Below are 17,929 nucleotides of genomic sequence, written 5' to 3' on the forward strand. Positions count from 1 at the left end.
ATAATATGACCATCTATCTTAATGTGAAATGCTTAAAAATATAAATAACTGCAATATTTCTGATTATAAAATGTATGCAGTCATTTGTTGTAATTTTTAAATACGAAAAATATTTAGAAAGAAGGTCAAAAGTCACTTGAAATACTTTCATCCAGAAAAAATGGCCATTAATGTTTTGCATTTTGGTGATCTTCCTTCCCAAAGTCTTGTGTGTGTGTGTGCATGTGTGCATGTGAAGGTAAGTATATGTGCACATGTATGTGTGTGCATAGGCATGTATGAGCGTGTGTCTGGAAGGTGGGCTCATGGGGAGAGAGGCAATCAGACTTTGCAGAGTCTTGAGAGCAACACAATGGATATTTGGACTCAGTCTCAAGGTCAGTGATGGCCAATGAACATTTATGAACAGAATAAAAAATGAGATAGTATGTTCAAGATTGTTGCTCTGACTGTGACATTAATAGGGAAAGGAAATATGAGAGGTCAGGTATTTCAGGAGGAGGCTATAACTCTGGAGTTGAGGTAGTCAGAGAGGTGAACTAGGGCAGAAATTCAGGCAGGTAGAGGGCTGTGCATTCCAGAACTATTTATGTGTTCAAATTCACAAGACCTTGCGGATGACCAGATTTGTGAGAGATGAAGGGAATCAAAGATGATTCTTACTCTTCTTTAAAAATAAAAAGATCAAAGTGTTCATCAAAGCGTGTCCTGTTCTCTTGCTCATATTCACAAGGCATTACAAAGAGATTTATAAAATTGCTTATTACATAAACTAATGATAATGAACTTTACTGAGCAATCATTTTGAGCCAGAGGTCAGACATTTCATTTAATCCTCACAACTGTCCTTAGGTCAAATGATTGACCTAAGGACACACAGTTCAGAAGTAAAAGAACCTGTGCAAGACCTAATTCTCTCCCTCTCTCAAAATTTCACATTATAATGATGACTGTTATGGACTGGATTTTTCGCCACCCCACCACCCAAATTAATTTGTTAAAATGAGGTTGCAAAGGTGGAGGTTTAATCCAATAAGGCTGGTATCCTACCAAGAAAAGGAAGAGACACAAAAGCTCTCTCTCCACACACACATATAGAAAAAGTCATGTAAAGGCATAGCAAGAAGATAACTGTTTACAAAAGAGGAAGAGGGCCCCTGCCAGGAACCAAATCAACTGACACCTTGATCTAGGACTTCCCAGCCTCCAGAATGGTGAGAAAATTAATTTCTGTTTTTTCAGCCCCCTAGTCTGTGGTATTTTGTTATGGCAGCCTGAGCCAATTAATAGAATGCCTTCTAGTAGCAACAATCAAAGAGAATCCAGTGACGTTAGGGAATCCTTTTAAACCTAAAGCAAGTTTGCCAATTGGAAGATGGGCAGTTCACTTAAAAGAATTTTAAAAGTCCAACTTCTTAGACATTAAGTATCAGTTAAGGCTAGTGGAGCAGAGCTTCATGATTACTTAGAAGTTTTTTTTATTTTTGAAATGATCAGTATTGTTAATTTTTAAAGTGTTAATGCTTTTAAGCCAAAACTTTCTCCTTTTTTTTTTTTTTAACAAAAGACAAATTTGAAGCTGTGAAGGAAATTGGAAGGAGGAAGTCACTGTTGTTGTTAAGCTCTGAGAATTTTCCCAAGTGTAATTCAGTCTGTAAATTGCTTTTGTAAAGTAGATTCTTTGGAAAACGTTTGCAAAGATGTAAATAAAATGCTGTACTTTATATAGTACCTACATAGGATTGAATCTACTCACCTCAAGGGTGAACTACGATCCACAAGGACTAATTTTGTTCTTAAAAAATGTTATAACAGGTTTATGTTGTTGGTTCTGAAATGTCTACTAGAAGAATAGCTGCATGAATAGAAGAATATAATTTCCAACTCATGGAGTGAAAAGCAGCTTAATAAATCTAGTTCAAAAATCACTTTAAAATTGTTTCAAATAACCTTGGCTCACTCACAAGCTAAGTAACGTATTTTAGCGTTCAGGGGTTCTGTTTAGAGAAATTGTTAAGTGGTCCATCTGTTTTATATGTATTTCCCTAATTAGAAGCTAATTTGCACAGTTTAAGGGAAATGTCAAATGCGTTACAGAAGCCCCTTTGCATATATAAAGGAGCAACCAAGAGCAGAAAATGGAAACCAGGGTGAAACTGGGTGCTTTTACCCTCTCGATAATTACAGGCTTATGAAGAAAGTCATGACTACCACAATGCCTGCCAAGGTGAAGAGTGGGCACATTATGGCATTCACAGTATCATGCACCTGCCTCTCTTTACATCTCTTTGAGGTTAATAAAGTTCATGATACTGTACACATAATGATGATCCTACTGTGCACGGGTTACTGATTTATTCAACTAGTATTCACTGAGAGCTGGGACACAATGAACAAAACAGACAGGGGCTGCCCATAGAGTATTCACAGCAAAATCTTCATCCATTATCATGAATCTCACAAAAGTCTTATGAAGTGGCTATTATTATCTGATCTTTAGAAATAAACTTAGGGCTTGGACAGGTTAAGTGACTTGCCCATGGCTCAGTGGCTGGCATGGCAAAGTTGGATGCGGCTCCCAAATCCTGCCCCTACTGCATTTCTTCCTAATGGTTCCCCAGGGTTTAGTAACACATCTTTAGGAATTTACTGTGAGATTCCTAAATGTCCCCATTAGTGTGAATAGGCCAAGTCTGAAATAAATTAAGCCTTTTTTTTTAGGACCTGGGCAAAACCCTCAGGGCCTCTATACAGAGTTGCCAGATCCTCTCTTCCATCTCCCTACATCTCCCTTAATTAAAAAAAAAAGTAGATGCAAAATTATAATAGCTGTTTTCTGCATTTTCTGACTGTGACATGGTAGCTTAATTCATCAAAGTTTAACCTTTCTTTTTGGGGGAGGCAGGGTTCCTGTGCTTTGTTTCCCTAAGCACATCCTTAATTTGCCACTTGGTGACCCAGCCCTCAGATCTGCCCACCTCTAGAAGCCGATGCTTATAAATCTTTCACCAGATTTTGAGGCCTCTCTGCTTTGTCTCTGTATCTTTTTAATCATCAATTCACGTAATTGGACGTTATGACAAGGAAGCAGCTAACATCATTCAATTTCTTACTCTGATGCCTATGTTCAGTATAAGATTGATTTAGCCTTTCCTTCCTTTGTTCATTCATTCCACATTCGAGTGCCTACCATGTGTGTAGCAATATACCAGGCACAAGATACAGATGAAAAATAGAGTTCCTACTCTGAAGCATCTCAGAGTTCAGACAGGCAGGCAGAGAAGATACTAAAAAATCATTTTTAAAAATATGATAAAGGACGTGAAAGGGGTACGCAGAGAGTGCTATGGAAACAAGGAGGAGAAACCAATCCAGCCCGGGGGATTGGTGGGGTTGGAGCAGGGAGGAGGCTCTTCTGCAGAGGAAAAGATGTCTGAGCTGACTCTTAAAAAGCCAACTAAGTGATGGGCCACATGATTAAGAAAGGCATGTATTCTAGGCAGATAATGCCAAGGGCAACGGCCCAGGAGCATGGGAGAGCAGTGCACATCCAGGGATCTACAAGTAATGATAAATAGACACATTTTTTTCTGTCATTATTTTTGTGCAGGCTTCTATGCTAAGTGTCTTGCATACATTATTTAACTGAATTCTCATCTAAACACTGTGCAGCAGGTACCATTCTTATTTCTATTTGAGAGTTGAGAAAAACAGAGGCTAAATAACATACCTTAGTATTAACCAAAGATAATAAGAAGTTAGGCTGGGCTTCGAGCACCAGTCTTTTGAATATCATAATTTGCCTGCTCAACCACTCCATGCCACTCCAGTAATTCTGTGTGGCTAGAATGTTGAGGCTGGGAAGGAGGCAGGGAGAGAAAGGCAAGAGATGACACAGAAAAGGTGATTTTACTTTAAAGGCTCCAGTGAGCCTCTGAAGGATTTTAAGCAGGTGTGTGCTATGCTTAGATGTGCATTTTAGAAGCCTCACTCTGTGGAAAGGATAAAGTACAGATGAGAAGAGAGCCAGATTGGAGACAGAGAAATCAGACAGGCAGCTGGGCACTGCTCCTGGTGAGAGATGACAGGTTTTTGGTCGCATATAGTGGCGATAGAGATGGAGAGGAGAGGAGTGATTCCAAAGATAACCCTTGCAACTGATTAGAGAGAGGTGAGGATGGGATAGAGGTAGGGTGAACGACAGTGAGGGAAGGAGTCCAAGTTTATTTTGGGGTTTCTCTTTTGGATGAATTGGTGAAGGTTGATGTTATTCAACAAGTGATGGAGCATAAAATAATTAGGAAAAAATGATGAATTCCTTTTTAGACATGCTCAATTCAAAATGCCTAAGAAACATTAATAAGAAGACGTGTACCAGTCAGACTGAAATATGAATCTACATAGTCATCAGCCTACACATGAAAAATCATGGGCTTGGGTAATATCAGTGTATGGAGGAAAGAAAGAGAACAAGAATGGGAAGGGAGCAGATGAAGCAAGGGTACAATTTAGAAAATGTAACATCTAGAAGGCTAGAAGAATTAGGAGACTCCATGAAGACTAAGGAGAGTAGGAGGAACATGATCAGAAAGAAAAAGCAAGAGTTTCAAGAAGGAGGGGAAAATCTGTAGCATCCAGGACAATAGACAGCAATGTCTTGGTCACAGTGACCACCACTGCTCACCAGACCCGCATGTTCCAGACACCATACCCTACCGGGTACTTATGTGAAGTCTCTCTGTTCTTAACAACATGGTTGCAAAGCAGTGGTGCTGGTGGGGAAAACAGTGACTAACTGTTGAATACCTGCTTTGTGCCTACTGTTTACTAAGCTCTTTGCACACAATACCTCATTCTTGCTTTTACAGATGAGAAATTTTGCCCGTGATAAAGATAAAGACAGGGAACACTAATTGTAACAACACATAGGGTTAAGGGAGGATACTAGGCACTGAGGATTTCTTTTCTTTTTTTGCTTCAAAATGGAAGAGCTCCAAGTTGAGTAAGCTAGTAGCACACAGTGGCATAACACAAAAATGTATCCTCAGGGTAAAATAGTTCATAGGAAGATCACCATTATTAGTTAATAATTTTGGCCCATGGCACTTACTACTCCTGAGTCCTAATTTTGCCCTCTTCAGTTAGATAAACGATCACACAGAATAGGCACTTATGGGGAGAAGTCTCTTTCTCTGTCCTGCCTCAGCCTTCACCACAAACATCTGGTGTTACTCTTGTCTCACTGCATTAAAATTATCTATTAAAATAGTGTTTCCTTAAGTTGTGTATGTTCTGCAAAGGCAAGGCCAGTCCTTTTTATCATTTCCCCAGCTTGCCTGTCAGTTGCCTGGATTGAAGCAAGCAATCAATAAATGTCTGAAGATAATTAAATGTTTTAAACAGCTATTTCCAATGACTTAACTATGGCCTTCTTTAACACTAGAAATTTAAATTGAATTTATCTGTCAGAATCCAAACATAAAAAACTAACTTTGACTAAGGTAAAACAGAAAAGAAAGTTTTGGAAGGATACTAGGTCTCTCAGGAAGTCGGCAGAAAGCCTCGAGATCAAGATTGGAGGACAGGGCTGCTGAAATCACAGAGTGCCATTATCCATTTGATTAATTCATCCTCAGGGCTCCCCTGGCACTGTGGCCACACTCAACACTACACTGTGAGTGTCTACTGCCATTAATAAACTTCCCCGCACATCCCTTGATTCAGGTTTAAACACACAAGTGAAGTGTCCTATCAGCTGAGCCTAGCTCTCAGCCTGTGCTCCAGCTACCAGAGAAGAGGGAGAGGATCTCCTTTCTTTCCTTCAGAAGGGGCGAGTTCTGCCCCCAGTCAGGAAACACACCATGGGGATAGGCACTTAAAGCGGAAGGGGATTTGGATCCTAAGCTGCCAAGGCAACAAAAATGTCCACTAACCTGACTGAAAGGATTCTGAGTCATCACTCAAAAGGGAAGGATAACCTTCCCTAGAATTTAAGATATAAATAAGATAGATTCCCAGCTGTCTGAAATGGTTTAGATAATAGTTCTTCTACAAGGCAGAGATGGATTGAAATACAATATATTCCCACACAGCTATCATCTCCTGAAATGCTAGAAATATCTTCACGTCAAAGTCTTATCATAGGAAGCCTGAGAGCTGGAATCTGGAATTACATTTCTATTTTTTTTAGGCCCTTGCTACAAAGAAGTTGCATTTCCTCCCTCAAGTCGGTTGTCTGCTGTTTGTGACTGATACTATGCACAGCAGTGAGGCATGTGTGTTTCACGAAAATGTGTGAAAACTGCTTTCAAAAATGCATGCCATCTAGATAAAAAGAAAACTATAAAAATATGTTTGGTTGCCACTTCGTAGAGCCTATTGAATTTGTCTGTGAATGTGAATCTAATTGCCATTTTTTCTACTACAGCCTCTGTGAACATTACATTTCCATTAAAAAGAGAAGTCAGTTACAGCAGAATGTATTCCTGTGTTCACATAGGAATCATAAAAATAAATAATGATCGGTTGATTGCTTAATAATTTATGTTTCTCCTTGATAGACCATTAGAGGAAATAAGCAAATCCACAGGTACAGAAAATGTCATTCATTGTCAGTAAAGTGTTACAAACAGCTTCCTGTAACTGAAGTGTTTGTAACTAAAGTGTTACAAACAGCTTCCTGGTTTTGAATGATGACTGCTGATTATTCTCCTGTTCTTCATTTATAATCAGAGAAAGTCTCCTTTATTAACTATTCTTGTTACCATGGGATTGGCATAAAAATATTATCACTTGTGTGGTTGAATTTGAGGGCTGAGGGACCCGCACAACTTGGGTTAGAGGGGTCAGACTTAAACTGCACTTGTTGCAGAAAAATCTATTCCATTCTTCATCCAATGGCAGGAATAAACAACATGTTATTTTGATAAATTCAGTAACTTGATGTTAATGGTTGACAGCCCCCCTCCTTCTCGTGGTTTTTCTCCTTCAGTGATTTGAATGACCTGTGTCTATCTGATGGGTTGACCAGTATGTTTTTTTTTTAAATGATTTTGTATCTATTTTGATGAACAGTTGTCAAAGAGAAGGGTCTATTCTCACTGTTCAGGTAAGGAAATTTGCAGTTAATTAGGAAAATGCACATAAAGATGTCAGATGAATATTCCTAAAGCACAGCTCCAATCAATATCTCACCCCTGATTAAGTTTAATGTCTCTAACTCTCTACCTAATTAAGTCCAGAGTTCTATCCCCGGGCTTCACAGATTTTCATCCTATAGCCTCTGCCTATTTTCTGAGATTTTATTCTACTTTTTTCCTGTACTGTATGTACAGCACAGTTAAGTTTGGTGATTCTTAATCCTTGCTGCACATCAGAATCACATGGAAATCTTCAAACAAACAAACATTAATCCACTGGGCCCACCGCATACTAATTGAAAGTGAATTTGAGGATGAAGCACAGGCATCAGTTTGGTTTGTGTGTGTGTGTGTTTGTGCAGGGAGGGTTAGCTCCTTATTTTGGTTATCTATTGTTACAAATCCAACCACCTCAACACTTATTTGTATGAAACGGTATACATTTTATTATGTTCCCAATTCTGTGGTCCAACTGTTCTGACACAGCACAGCACTGGTAGTGTGCCTTTACTCCATGATGCCTGGGGTTTTGGCTGGGACAACTCACATGGCTAGGGATGTCTGCAAGAGCTGGGAGCTGGAGTCATTTGCAGGCTTCCTCATTGACATTTCTGCTGCTGAGGCTGGGATAATGCAAAGGCTCTGCTTAGCTATACCTGTAAGCCAGGTGTCTACACTTGCCTTTCCATATACCTTGGGCTTCCTCAAAGCATGGTGGCTTAAGGTAGAAAAACTTCCTATACGGAAGTTCAAGAATCCAGGAGCAAATCCACTGTAAAAAGTGGAATTGCAAAGGCTTTTATGCCCCTACCCTCGGAAAGCACATAGCAACACTTCTGTTCCATTTCATTCATTGTAGCAGTCACAATCTTTCAGATTTAAGGGGAGGGGACCCACTTCTCTATAGGAAGAATGTCAATGAATTTGTGGGCACATTTTAAAGTTACCACACACCCCAGGTGATTCCAATGTACAGGCAGCGTTGAGAACAACTGGATTCATTTTTTTTTTTTGTAAGCACCCATCTACAAAGGAGCAGTGGGACTTGGGTGAAGTGAACAAGACACCTAGGGTGCAAAATTTAAGAAAATCATTCTCAGGATCATGCAAGCACAGGATAGAGATTGAGAGCAAGTGCCTCCTTACATTCTGTGCTCAAGTGGCCCCACTTGCCACACCCTAGTCCTGAGCCTACTACATAGCAACTGTGTATGAATCATTAGGGTGAGGGGGACTTGGATTTCTGGACTAGACAGTACTTTAGTATTGGGATTTGGAAAGCCCAGGTAGGATCTGGGATTCTGTATGTTTATAGGAATCCCCAGTGGACTACTTCCAGCTTCCACGTGCTTTCCTGGTGCCATGCTTTGCTTACGCTGTTCCTTCTGCCTGGAAGTGTTTTCCTTCTATTTCTATCAAGCATGGAGTATCCACTGATTTTTAAGGTCCATTTCATATACCGCTTCTTTCATCAAGCTTTTATTGGTCCCCCCAGCCAGAGTGTAACCTGTCTCTCCTGAGAAACCCCTAGCATGTTTTACATGCCTTTAAGACACTCACATGTTGATCAGCATTTTGGTTGTGTGTGGGCCTGTCTTATAGGAAGAATATGTTTACTTTTCTCCAAAGGCCACAAAATGGAGATCTGGATCCTCCTCACCCGTTCTCACTGGTAGAGGCAGAGTCTTGTTTAGACAAGGTTCCCTCTTTTTTGCCTTATCTCGCTCCCAGATAGCTCAAGTTTGTAACCAACACATACACATTTTAGATGCCCAATAAACTGGATCTCTCTCCTGATGAAAGGTGTGGTCAGTTTCCTATTTTTACAGCCTTCGCAGAAGCCGTCAAATATTGAATAATTACCCTGGTTTAAATGCTTAAACACAGATAAGGACTTCGTCTTGTGACTTTGGGAAACTTCATATTTGAACATTACCTAACAATCCTTGCCCCATAGCAAACGTTTCGAAGCCTACTCTAGGCAGAGTTCATAGCACCGCCTTTGTCAGCAGCACTGCCATAGGTAAGCCTCAGAACCCTCTGGGGTGAGACCGGTGTAACCATTTTACTGATGAGGAAAAGTGAGGCTTACAGGTTAAGTCCTTCGAGCGCAAGATAACACCGAATGGCTTAATCCCTACACCAAACCAGCTGCTCCTCGATTGCTGGTATTCGTGAACCCTGCCCCCGCCTTTGGGGAAGGTCGGGCAGACAGGCCACTGGGACCAAAAGCAGAGTAGGTAGAACCTCTCTGAGTTCCTCCCTATTTATGGCATCCACTCAGGTGAGGCTGGGGGCGTCCTTACCTTGCGCTTTGGCTGCTCAGGACAAACGCCCTGCCATTCGTCCCTTCTCTCTGTCCGGACGCCCTCCTCCATCCCTGCACTTGGGGCCGTCGTGGGGCTGGTAGGGGTCCCCAGGCTATCTCCAGCCGTGGCCGATGGCCGTGCCGGGGGCAGAGCCCGCTCCCCTCCGCGCGTTGCTACGTGCGGGGATGACATGGATCCAGACGCCGTCAACTACGGGAAGGAGGAGGCGAGAGTTGGAGCGCGTGGGAGCGCAGAGGCCGGAGGAGGGAGGGGGGGACACCGAGCGCGGAGAGCGCGGAGAGCGCGGAGGGAGGCGCGCGCGGGAGCGAACACCCTCCCGGATCCAGAGCCCGGCGGCGGCGAAGCAGCAGCTGCGGCCGCGCCCTTGCCAGAGCCGGTGCGTCCGCCTAGCCCCGCTCCGCCTGAGGCCGTCAGGGCTCCCGAGGATGGAAGATTCCCAGGAGACATCGCCGTCCTCCAACAACTCCTCGGAGGAGCTCAGCTCTGCTCTGCACCTGTCCAAGGGCATGTCGATCTTCCTCGACGTAAGTACAGATGGTGGGAGCTGGGCGGTTGCTTCCCAGCACCTTTCTTTTCCCCGAAAGGAAGGGGTTCGGCTCAGGTGCTGACCAGCCAATGCTTTGTCCCCAGAACACAGGCGAGAACTACCGATGCAAATGCAGGAGGAACGACTGTCCCTTAACTTGCAGCTAGGGCTGTCCCAGACCTGCAGCTTGTGGCTTAACACCCTTAAGAAAACTGCAAAAGTTAGATTTTCCAACAGGCTGGGTTTCGTAGAGACACTATTGCAAATACAACAGACAACATTTGAGTGCATAGGACATTTTAAAGAGGCACAAGGTGTGGGGGGTGAGGTGGGGACAGTGTCCCAACTCATCTCTCTAACGCGCCCTATTCGCAGCCTTCACACTCGTGGATGCTCTCAAGCAACCCAGCCAGGGAAGCAGCAGCGATTGAGATGCCCTCGTTATCCTCCCCCAGACCCCCTCGGAAAACAATTACTTTGAGCATATTTGTTTTTCTTTTTACAGCGGTGGGAAATATCATTTTCATAATGATTCTTTTTGTCACTGCCACCTCTTCTATTTTCCCTTTTTCTTCCCTGATATTCTCCTTCTCTCCAAGTTCTAATTACTACTGTCACCTCCATGAATTCTAGCTTTTGACTATTTTCCCTTTGGTCCAATTTCTCACTTCGGTATCGACTGCCTGCCTTCATTACTCTGATCTGATTACATCCTTTCTTTTCCTTCTGTGCTGTTTCTTTTTCCCGTATGGTGTGGTTTCTATCTTTACAGCACTTTTATTTCTTATTTATTTCTCAATTTTGTTTTCCTCTCCTGCCTGCTGTTTCTGTTTTCTCTATTTTTCCGTCTGTTGCCTATCTCTTCTCTCTGCTTTGGGGTTTCTCTCAGCTGCTTGCCGGGCTCCAGGCTCTCCCAGCCCCTCAGTTGTCACATTCATGCTGTTGCCGGAGGTCGTGTCTATCTCAGTGGGGACAATTCTGTCTGCTTCTTGTTTAGGCATGATAGAAAATGTCAAAGGACATGGAGGAGTGCTACGTGCTCTGTCCTTTACCCTTCTCTGAGTTATCTTTTCTTATTAAAGTCAAAATGAGTGGGAGATGGGCCAGAAGCCAGATACATTTGTTTGTGGAGAGATGAAAATATGAGGAAATCAATTAGTATCATAATGGTGAGGCAGAGATAAAGAGGATAGGAGGATGTGAGGCGCTCTCCCAAGTTTATTTTGAATGGATTGGCTAGAATTCTTTTTAATTCTAGGGAAAGAAACTCCTATCAATAATTCAAACTGTTGTAAGGCAAATGATAGAAGTGAGGTTCAACTGTGTGTACTGGCAGCCTTCACCCTTTATCACCTGGTGGCTCCAATTGGTGATCCAGGCATTCTGGGCTGGTCATCTCCTTCCCACCAAATCTCAGGTGTGGTCATTCCTATTCAGCCACCCAATCAGGTGGTTAAGTACCTTATCCTTCATGAGCATTTATCTCTGCCTGGCTTGGGTCAGTCAGATGGTATTATTGGTGCTCATGGCTTAACGGGCTGATCTTATTCAAGTTTTGCTGTTCAGGGCCATAAAGCACTTGAGGAGGTAAGCTGAGAAAAGAGAAGGGCACCACAACATGCCTGAAAAGTCAGGGCCCCTGGAAATCATGTCAGTTATGAGGCTGACAATTAAGGGGCCATGGAGTTGATTCAAAGGGGACAAGTGGGGCCTCCATTCATTCTGACCTGATCTTCACTCTGTCCCCCATTGAGATCAAGTGCTTCCCTGTGCTTTTTAAAAAGCACTTAACAAACCCCGGTGATAGTGTGGAGATGAATGGATTAAAACTACACAAATGGAAAGTCATCCTCCTGACTCATACACCAGCCATTGCTTAAGTGTTCAACTGCAATGTTTTCGAAGAGAAAATTAAAATTTCATTTTTTATTATGTATGCATGATTGTTTCCAAGTCTGTAAACAAATAGCATCAGGTCCCTGTACTAAAGGAACTTGTAGTCTGTGAATAGGGTGGTCTTGCCTTTTATATTTCAGAGATTTAAAAATAAAAATAGGAAACTGATTCCCTATGAGAGGTGTTGACATGCTTGTTTGTCGGTAAAATGCTAGAGTCTACAAAAAAAACCTGCCATTGGATTTTGTGTCAAATGGAAAAGATTTTGTTTACACTTTTCTTTGAGTTATTTTGTGAAAAATCTAACACTGGTGAAATATGTGATATGAAAAATGATTTGTTACTTAGGGATTTGTGAATTATTCATTTCTGGATCATACCACTTTTAGCAAAATAAAATATAAAATATACATGCATCACTTTATTTATTTGATTTAATATATTCTATGGCACTAGCAAGAAAGATTACTTTTAAAATTATCTTCATATTATAATACATAGGTGATAGATATTACCTGTTCCAAACTGGAACAGGTAATTTTCTGTGTGTCTTCTGTATCAAACAGACAATTTCCAAATTTGAGGAAAACTTTGATTTGCAGTGCTTTTTATTGCAATGTCACTGGAATAATCAATCATTTAAGAAATGATGTAAACTGCTACTGAGAACACTATTAATGACATGATACATGACCAGCTGGTTGGAAACTAGAGACAGATTTTAACAAGAAAATCAGAGATAGATTTGCCACAACTGTTGGCTTTTCCTTCAGTATCCTCTCCAAATCAGCAATAGTAATCACTATGATACTTCCTTAGGCTGTTGTGAGTATGAAATAAGGGAAAATGGAAACAAAGCAAAAAGTATTGCATAAATTTGAAGTATTATGGTTATTTCAGTGCTGCACACTGAGTGTATTAAATAACAGTAACAGTAGCTAAATCCACAAACTGATGCAGGGACTATTTCTTCATGAATCTAATTTATAGAATTGTCTTGCTAGAATATGACAGAATTAAGTATCGGTTCATCATAAATACTCTTGAATACTGATGGGAGGCTTAGAAAACCTAGCACTGGTGCCAAGGTATGCCAGTGCATTGAGGCTGGAGCAAGCATTTGCATATGGCATGCCTGCCAGCCACAGGAGAGGGACTCAACTGGGTCCTGGCAACACATAGGACCACAGGGATTACTATTGCTTTTCCTTTTACACCAATGGACTATCATTTCCCCAGTTGCTGCAATCCAGTTAACAGAAGAGGAACTCTAGTTTGGAATACTAGTCTATGTAGCATGTGTCTCCTCTTTTGAGTCATTACATTAATCAACTCCGCTACTGTGAAAAGGGAGAAAAACAAACCTTCAACTCATCCCCAAAAGCAAGAGAAATTCCCAAACGAAATTAGTAGCAACTTCATCCACCCAATGCCACTTTCCTTTCCCATCAGTTTTCCTTTGATTTTTAACTGGAAGGGAAGTGACTGTTCCCCACTTCACTGCTAAAGAGGGAAAGAGGCTGGAAAGTTGTGAGGGGGATGAATGACTTTACTGCTTGTCTTCCCTTCCTTCCTTCGTCTAAGCATGCACACTCATGTACACTCTGAATGCAAGATACAGAGCATAGATGGTCAGGAACTTGGTGAAAACAAGAAATAGTTTCTTTTCACAAGGACACTTAATTCTGAAGCCCCATATATGCTCATTTGTATGATGTGTGAGATGCACAGAGGAATGTCGAAGCCGAATGAGTCTTCCAGATGCAATGGTTCTGTGACTGAACTCTGTTATAGCCACACACCTCCCATCTCACCTCATCTCTCTCACACACACACACACACACACACACACACACACTTGCTCATTTGAGTGAGATTGTCCAGTTCAGAGGATGGCAGTTAACCCCATCATTGTCTACCCTCATTGGCAAGGCAAATGTCACTCTTGTAGTTATAGGAAACAGCAGAAATTAGGAAAAAAAAATTTAATGCATGCTGGGCTTAATACCTAGGTGATGGATTGATAGGTGCAGCAAACCACCATAGCACACGTTTACCTATGTAACAACCCTGCACATCCTGTACATGTACCCCGGAACTTAAAAAATTTTTAAAAAAGTATTTAAAAATACACTTAGTCTTACTGTTATCATACATTAAAAATTGTTTTCCCACACTGGGCCTACCCTAGGCAAAATTGAGAAGATGAAAATATGTGCACTGATTCCTTCTCTCCATCCATCTTTCAGTGCCTGCTTCCCCTTATCCAGTTTCAGGGCAACCAGTGGCCTGGTAGTAAAACTACCTGCTGGAAGTCTGGGCCCACCCACCCTGGTAATGGGAGAGACTCCCATCTGACCCCAGGCAGTCTAATGATTGCGACACCTGGGCAACACCAGGCATTCTAATGGGAGAGACTCCTGCCGACCCTGTGTGGTGGGACTCCATGTTCTGGATTAGTCCTGAGTCCCTGTCTTATATTCTAGTTTCTCAGGAATCTACCAAGGGACTATTTCACCTCATTATCAAATCTTAACCTGATTCATGGTAGGAGGCACTTAGAAATATTAGTTCAGTAAATTATGATTGTGTCCATCTTTTAATGTTTCAAAGATAACATTTACATTTTAACACCTGCCTTCAATAACTTAAAGTGATGAATAAGGAATTTTAGTTGAGGCCATCAAAGAATATTTTTGAAATAAAGGAATCTATTTGATAATCTTTGAATTGTAGCGAAAACACAGTATTGCCTGTCTTCAAATTTTAAGCCTGACCATAATATTTAAATTTATTTACCATCTATCCAGTGGTAGCAACCTTAAGATCGGCTGACACAGATTATTCTGGTACCATAACGTAATGAACTTGATTCTCATCCGGAGTACATTTTTTATTAGTCTGTGGGATCAGAGGCAAAATTTGCAGCAGAGACAGTTCTGTTCATATTTAATTATAAGAACTGTCTTAATAACAAAAGCTGCTGTTTTTATTTCATCTTTCAGAGGCTAAATGCTACTTGAGATTGTTCTTTATGAAATGAAATGAACAGAAGTCCTGGGTCCAACTCTGTGGTGTGTGATTATTCTATTCTAGTTACTTCAAAATCCTGAGGACAAAATACAGCTTGAAATAGAATCTTAGAATGAACCAAAAGTAAGAAATAGGATGCGTTTCATGTCTCCCTGACTCTCAGCTGGGGCTCCATGGTTGCAGAGGACAGGAAGAAGCTGGTTGTGATAAGGGAATGAATCCTCAAAATCCCCTCTAGCAATTAACTCTGGAGGAAAAATAATCTGGGTCTCATTTTGCTTTAAGCATAACTCTTACTATTGAAAGCAGTCCTCCTGCAGTAATTACATCAATTTAGTAAAAAAGGAGGACCATCTTCTTCTGCATGCGAGTCTAGGTGATACCTACCTGTTGCTGGAACAGTTTCATTGGTGAGATCTTTAATAGTAATACTAGTATCTTAAAACACATTGTGGCAATGATTAGATTTATCTATACCTCATTTCCGTGAAGTTGGCAGAATGAAAGGAGGATAATGTTTTTATAGTAGAAAGCAGTAAAACAGACAACTTGGGAATAAAAATGATTGCTCATGTTTCAAGCTGGCCAGCAAGAAGTGACGATCTAAATATAAGAGTAGCTCTGGTTATTTAACTATAACTACAAGTTACTTAGGGAAAAAAAGTCATCCTCAAGGGCCCCTTCCAAGCAATTAAAGTTTGTCTTTGCAATGTGCTAGTGGGGCATCCTCTTTGGTACTGTATATAACATAGCTCTGTAGTATGTTATCCAGATTATTTTCTATTAGCATATCTATCAGGGTTAACTTCATTGCAGCTAGCAGGAAAAATAATGCAAACTGTTTTAAGATTGTTTTAAAAAATAATGTATTGGCTCCTGTAATGAAAAAGCAGAGATCATCTCATCAAGATTACTTAATCAGAGACTCAAGGAGTGCTATCTGGACCCAGTTTCCCTAAGTCTCTGAAAACTACTTTCCTGGGTGTTGGTTCTTTCCAGGTTATATATTGTATTAGTTTCCTAGGGCTGCTCTAACAAACTATCACAATAGAATGTACCCTCCACAGTTCTGGAGGTGAGAAGGGCGAAATCAAGCTGCTAGCAGGATGATGCTCCCTGGGAAGGCTCCAGAGGGGGAACTGTATCATACTTCCTCTCTTGCTTCTGATGGCACCTGTCAGTACTTTGGCATCCTTGGCTTTCAGCTGCACCACGCCAATACCTGACTCTTTGATCATGTGGTCTCTATCCTCTATCTCTGCATCTCTGAATTTCTCTCCTTGTAAGATGCCCAGTCATTGGACTTAGGGACCACCCAATCCAGTTATATTTTATCTTAATGGGATTACATCAGCAAACCCTATTTCTTTTCTTTTTATAACTTAAAGTTTTATTTTAGATTCAGGAGGAATATGTGCAGGTTTGTTACGTGGGTGTATCACATGATGGCGAGATTTGGGGTACAAATGATTCCATCACCCAGGTAGTGAGCATAATACTCAACAGTTAGTGTTTCAACTCTTCTCCCCAACCTCCCTCTTCCCTCTATTAGTCCCCAGTGTATGTTGCTGCCATCTTTATGTTCATGTGTACCCAATGTTTAGCTCCCACTTATAAGTGAGAATATGCAGTGTTTGGTTTTCTGCTTCTGCATTAATTCACTCAGGATAATGGCCTCCAGTTGCATCCATGTCACTGCAAAGGACATTATCTTGTTCTTTTTTATGGCTGTGTAGTATTCCATGATGTATATGTACCACATTTTCTTTATCCAATTGACCACTGATGGGCACTTAAGTTGATTTAGTATTTTTGCTATTGTGAATAATGCTGCAATGAATATACGAGTGCCATGTGTCTTTTTGGTACAATGATTTATTTACTTTTGAATATATACTCAGTAACGGGATTGCAGAGTCAAATGGTAGTTCTGTTTTAAGTTCTCTGAGAAATCTCCAAACTGCTTTCCATAGGCTAGACTAATTTACATCCCCACCAACTGTATATAGGCATTCCCTTTTCTCTGCAGCAGCTCCAGAATGTGGTTGTGTTTTTTTTGACTTTCTGATAATAGCCATTCTGACTGGTGTGAGATGATAGCATATTGTGGTTTTGATTTGCATTTCTCTGATGATTAGTGATGTTGAGCATTTTTTCGTATGTTTGTTGGCCACTTGTATGTCTTCTTTTGAGAAGTGTCTGTTCATGTCTTTTGCCCACTTCTTAATGGGGTTCTTTTTTGTTTTTTGAAATATAATTTTTACAGATTCTGTATATTAGTAATATGTTGAATACATAGTTGGTGAATATTTTCTCCCATTCTTTAGATTCTCTGTTTACTCTGTTGATAGTTCATTTTCCTGTGCTCCAGCTCTTTAGTTTAATTAGGTCCCACTTGTCAATTTTTGTTTTTGTTGCAATTCCTTTTGAGAACTTAGTTATAACTTTTTTCTCAAGGCCAATTTTTTCTCAATGTCAAGAATGATATTTTCTAGGTTTTCTTATAGGATTTTTATAGTGTGAGGTCTTATATCGAAATTTTTAATCCATCTTGAGTTAATTTTTGTCTATAGTATTAGATAGTGCTCCAGTTTCATTCTTCTGCATATGACCTACTAGCTATCCCAGCACCATTTATTGAATAGGGAATCCTTTCCCCATTATTTATTTTTGTTGATTTTGTTGAAGATCAGCTGGCTGTAAGTGTACAGCTTTATTGCTGGGTTCTCTATTCTGTTTCATTTTTGTATCTGTTTTTTGTACCAGTACCATGCTGTTTTGTCTACTGTAGCCTTACTGTATAGTTTGAAGTCAAGTAATGTGATGCTTCCAGCTTTGTTCTTTTTGTTTAGAATTGCTTTGGCTATTCAGGCTCCATTTTGGTTCCATATGAATTTTAGAACAGTTTTTTCTAATTCTGTAAAAAATGACATTGGTAGTTTGATAGGAATAGTATTGAATGTATACATTGCTTTGGGTAGTATGGCCATTTTAACAATATTGAT

The 17,929-nt window shown here is 40.7% G+C and overlaps 1 protein-coding gene and 1 long non-coding RNA gene across 3 annotated transcripts in view; one reads left to right on the forward strand and one right to left on the reverse strand.

Moving 5' to 3' along the window:
- The window catches only part of LOC105375633 (uncharacterized), a 101,755-nt gene extending 91,579 nt beyond the window's left edge, over positions 1-10,176 (reverse strand). Inside the window, exon 1 of the long non-coding RNA XR_928389.4 lies at positions 9,446-10,176. This is a non-coding gene — a long non-coding RNA (uncharacterized LOC105375633). The remainder of the gene's footprint in view (positions 1-9,445) is intronic.
- The window catches only part of NECAB1 (N-terminal EF-hand calcium binding protein 1), a 167,619-nt gene continuing 159,472 nt past the window's right edge, over positions 9,783-17,929 (forward strand). For both annotated transcript variants that reach the window (NM_022351.5, XM_011517213.3), the window contains exon 1: positions 9,783-9,993. In NM_022351.5, the coding sequence (NP_071746.1) occupies positions 9,895-9,993 (99 nt within the window). In that variant the 5' untranslated portion in view covers positions 9,783-9,894. The remainder of the gene's footprint in view (positions 9,994-17,929) is intronic.

The sequence above is a fragment of the Homo sapiens genome, chromosome 8 (genome assembly GCF_000001405.40).
Source record: "Homo sapiens chromosome 8, GRCh38.p14 Primary Assembly".
Taxonomy (NCBI): domain Eukaryota; kingdom Metazoa; phylum Chordata; class Mammalia; order Primates; family Hominidae; genus Homo; species Homo sapiens.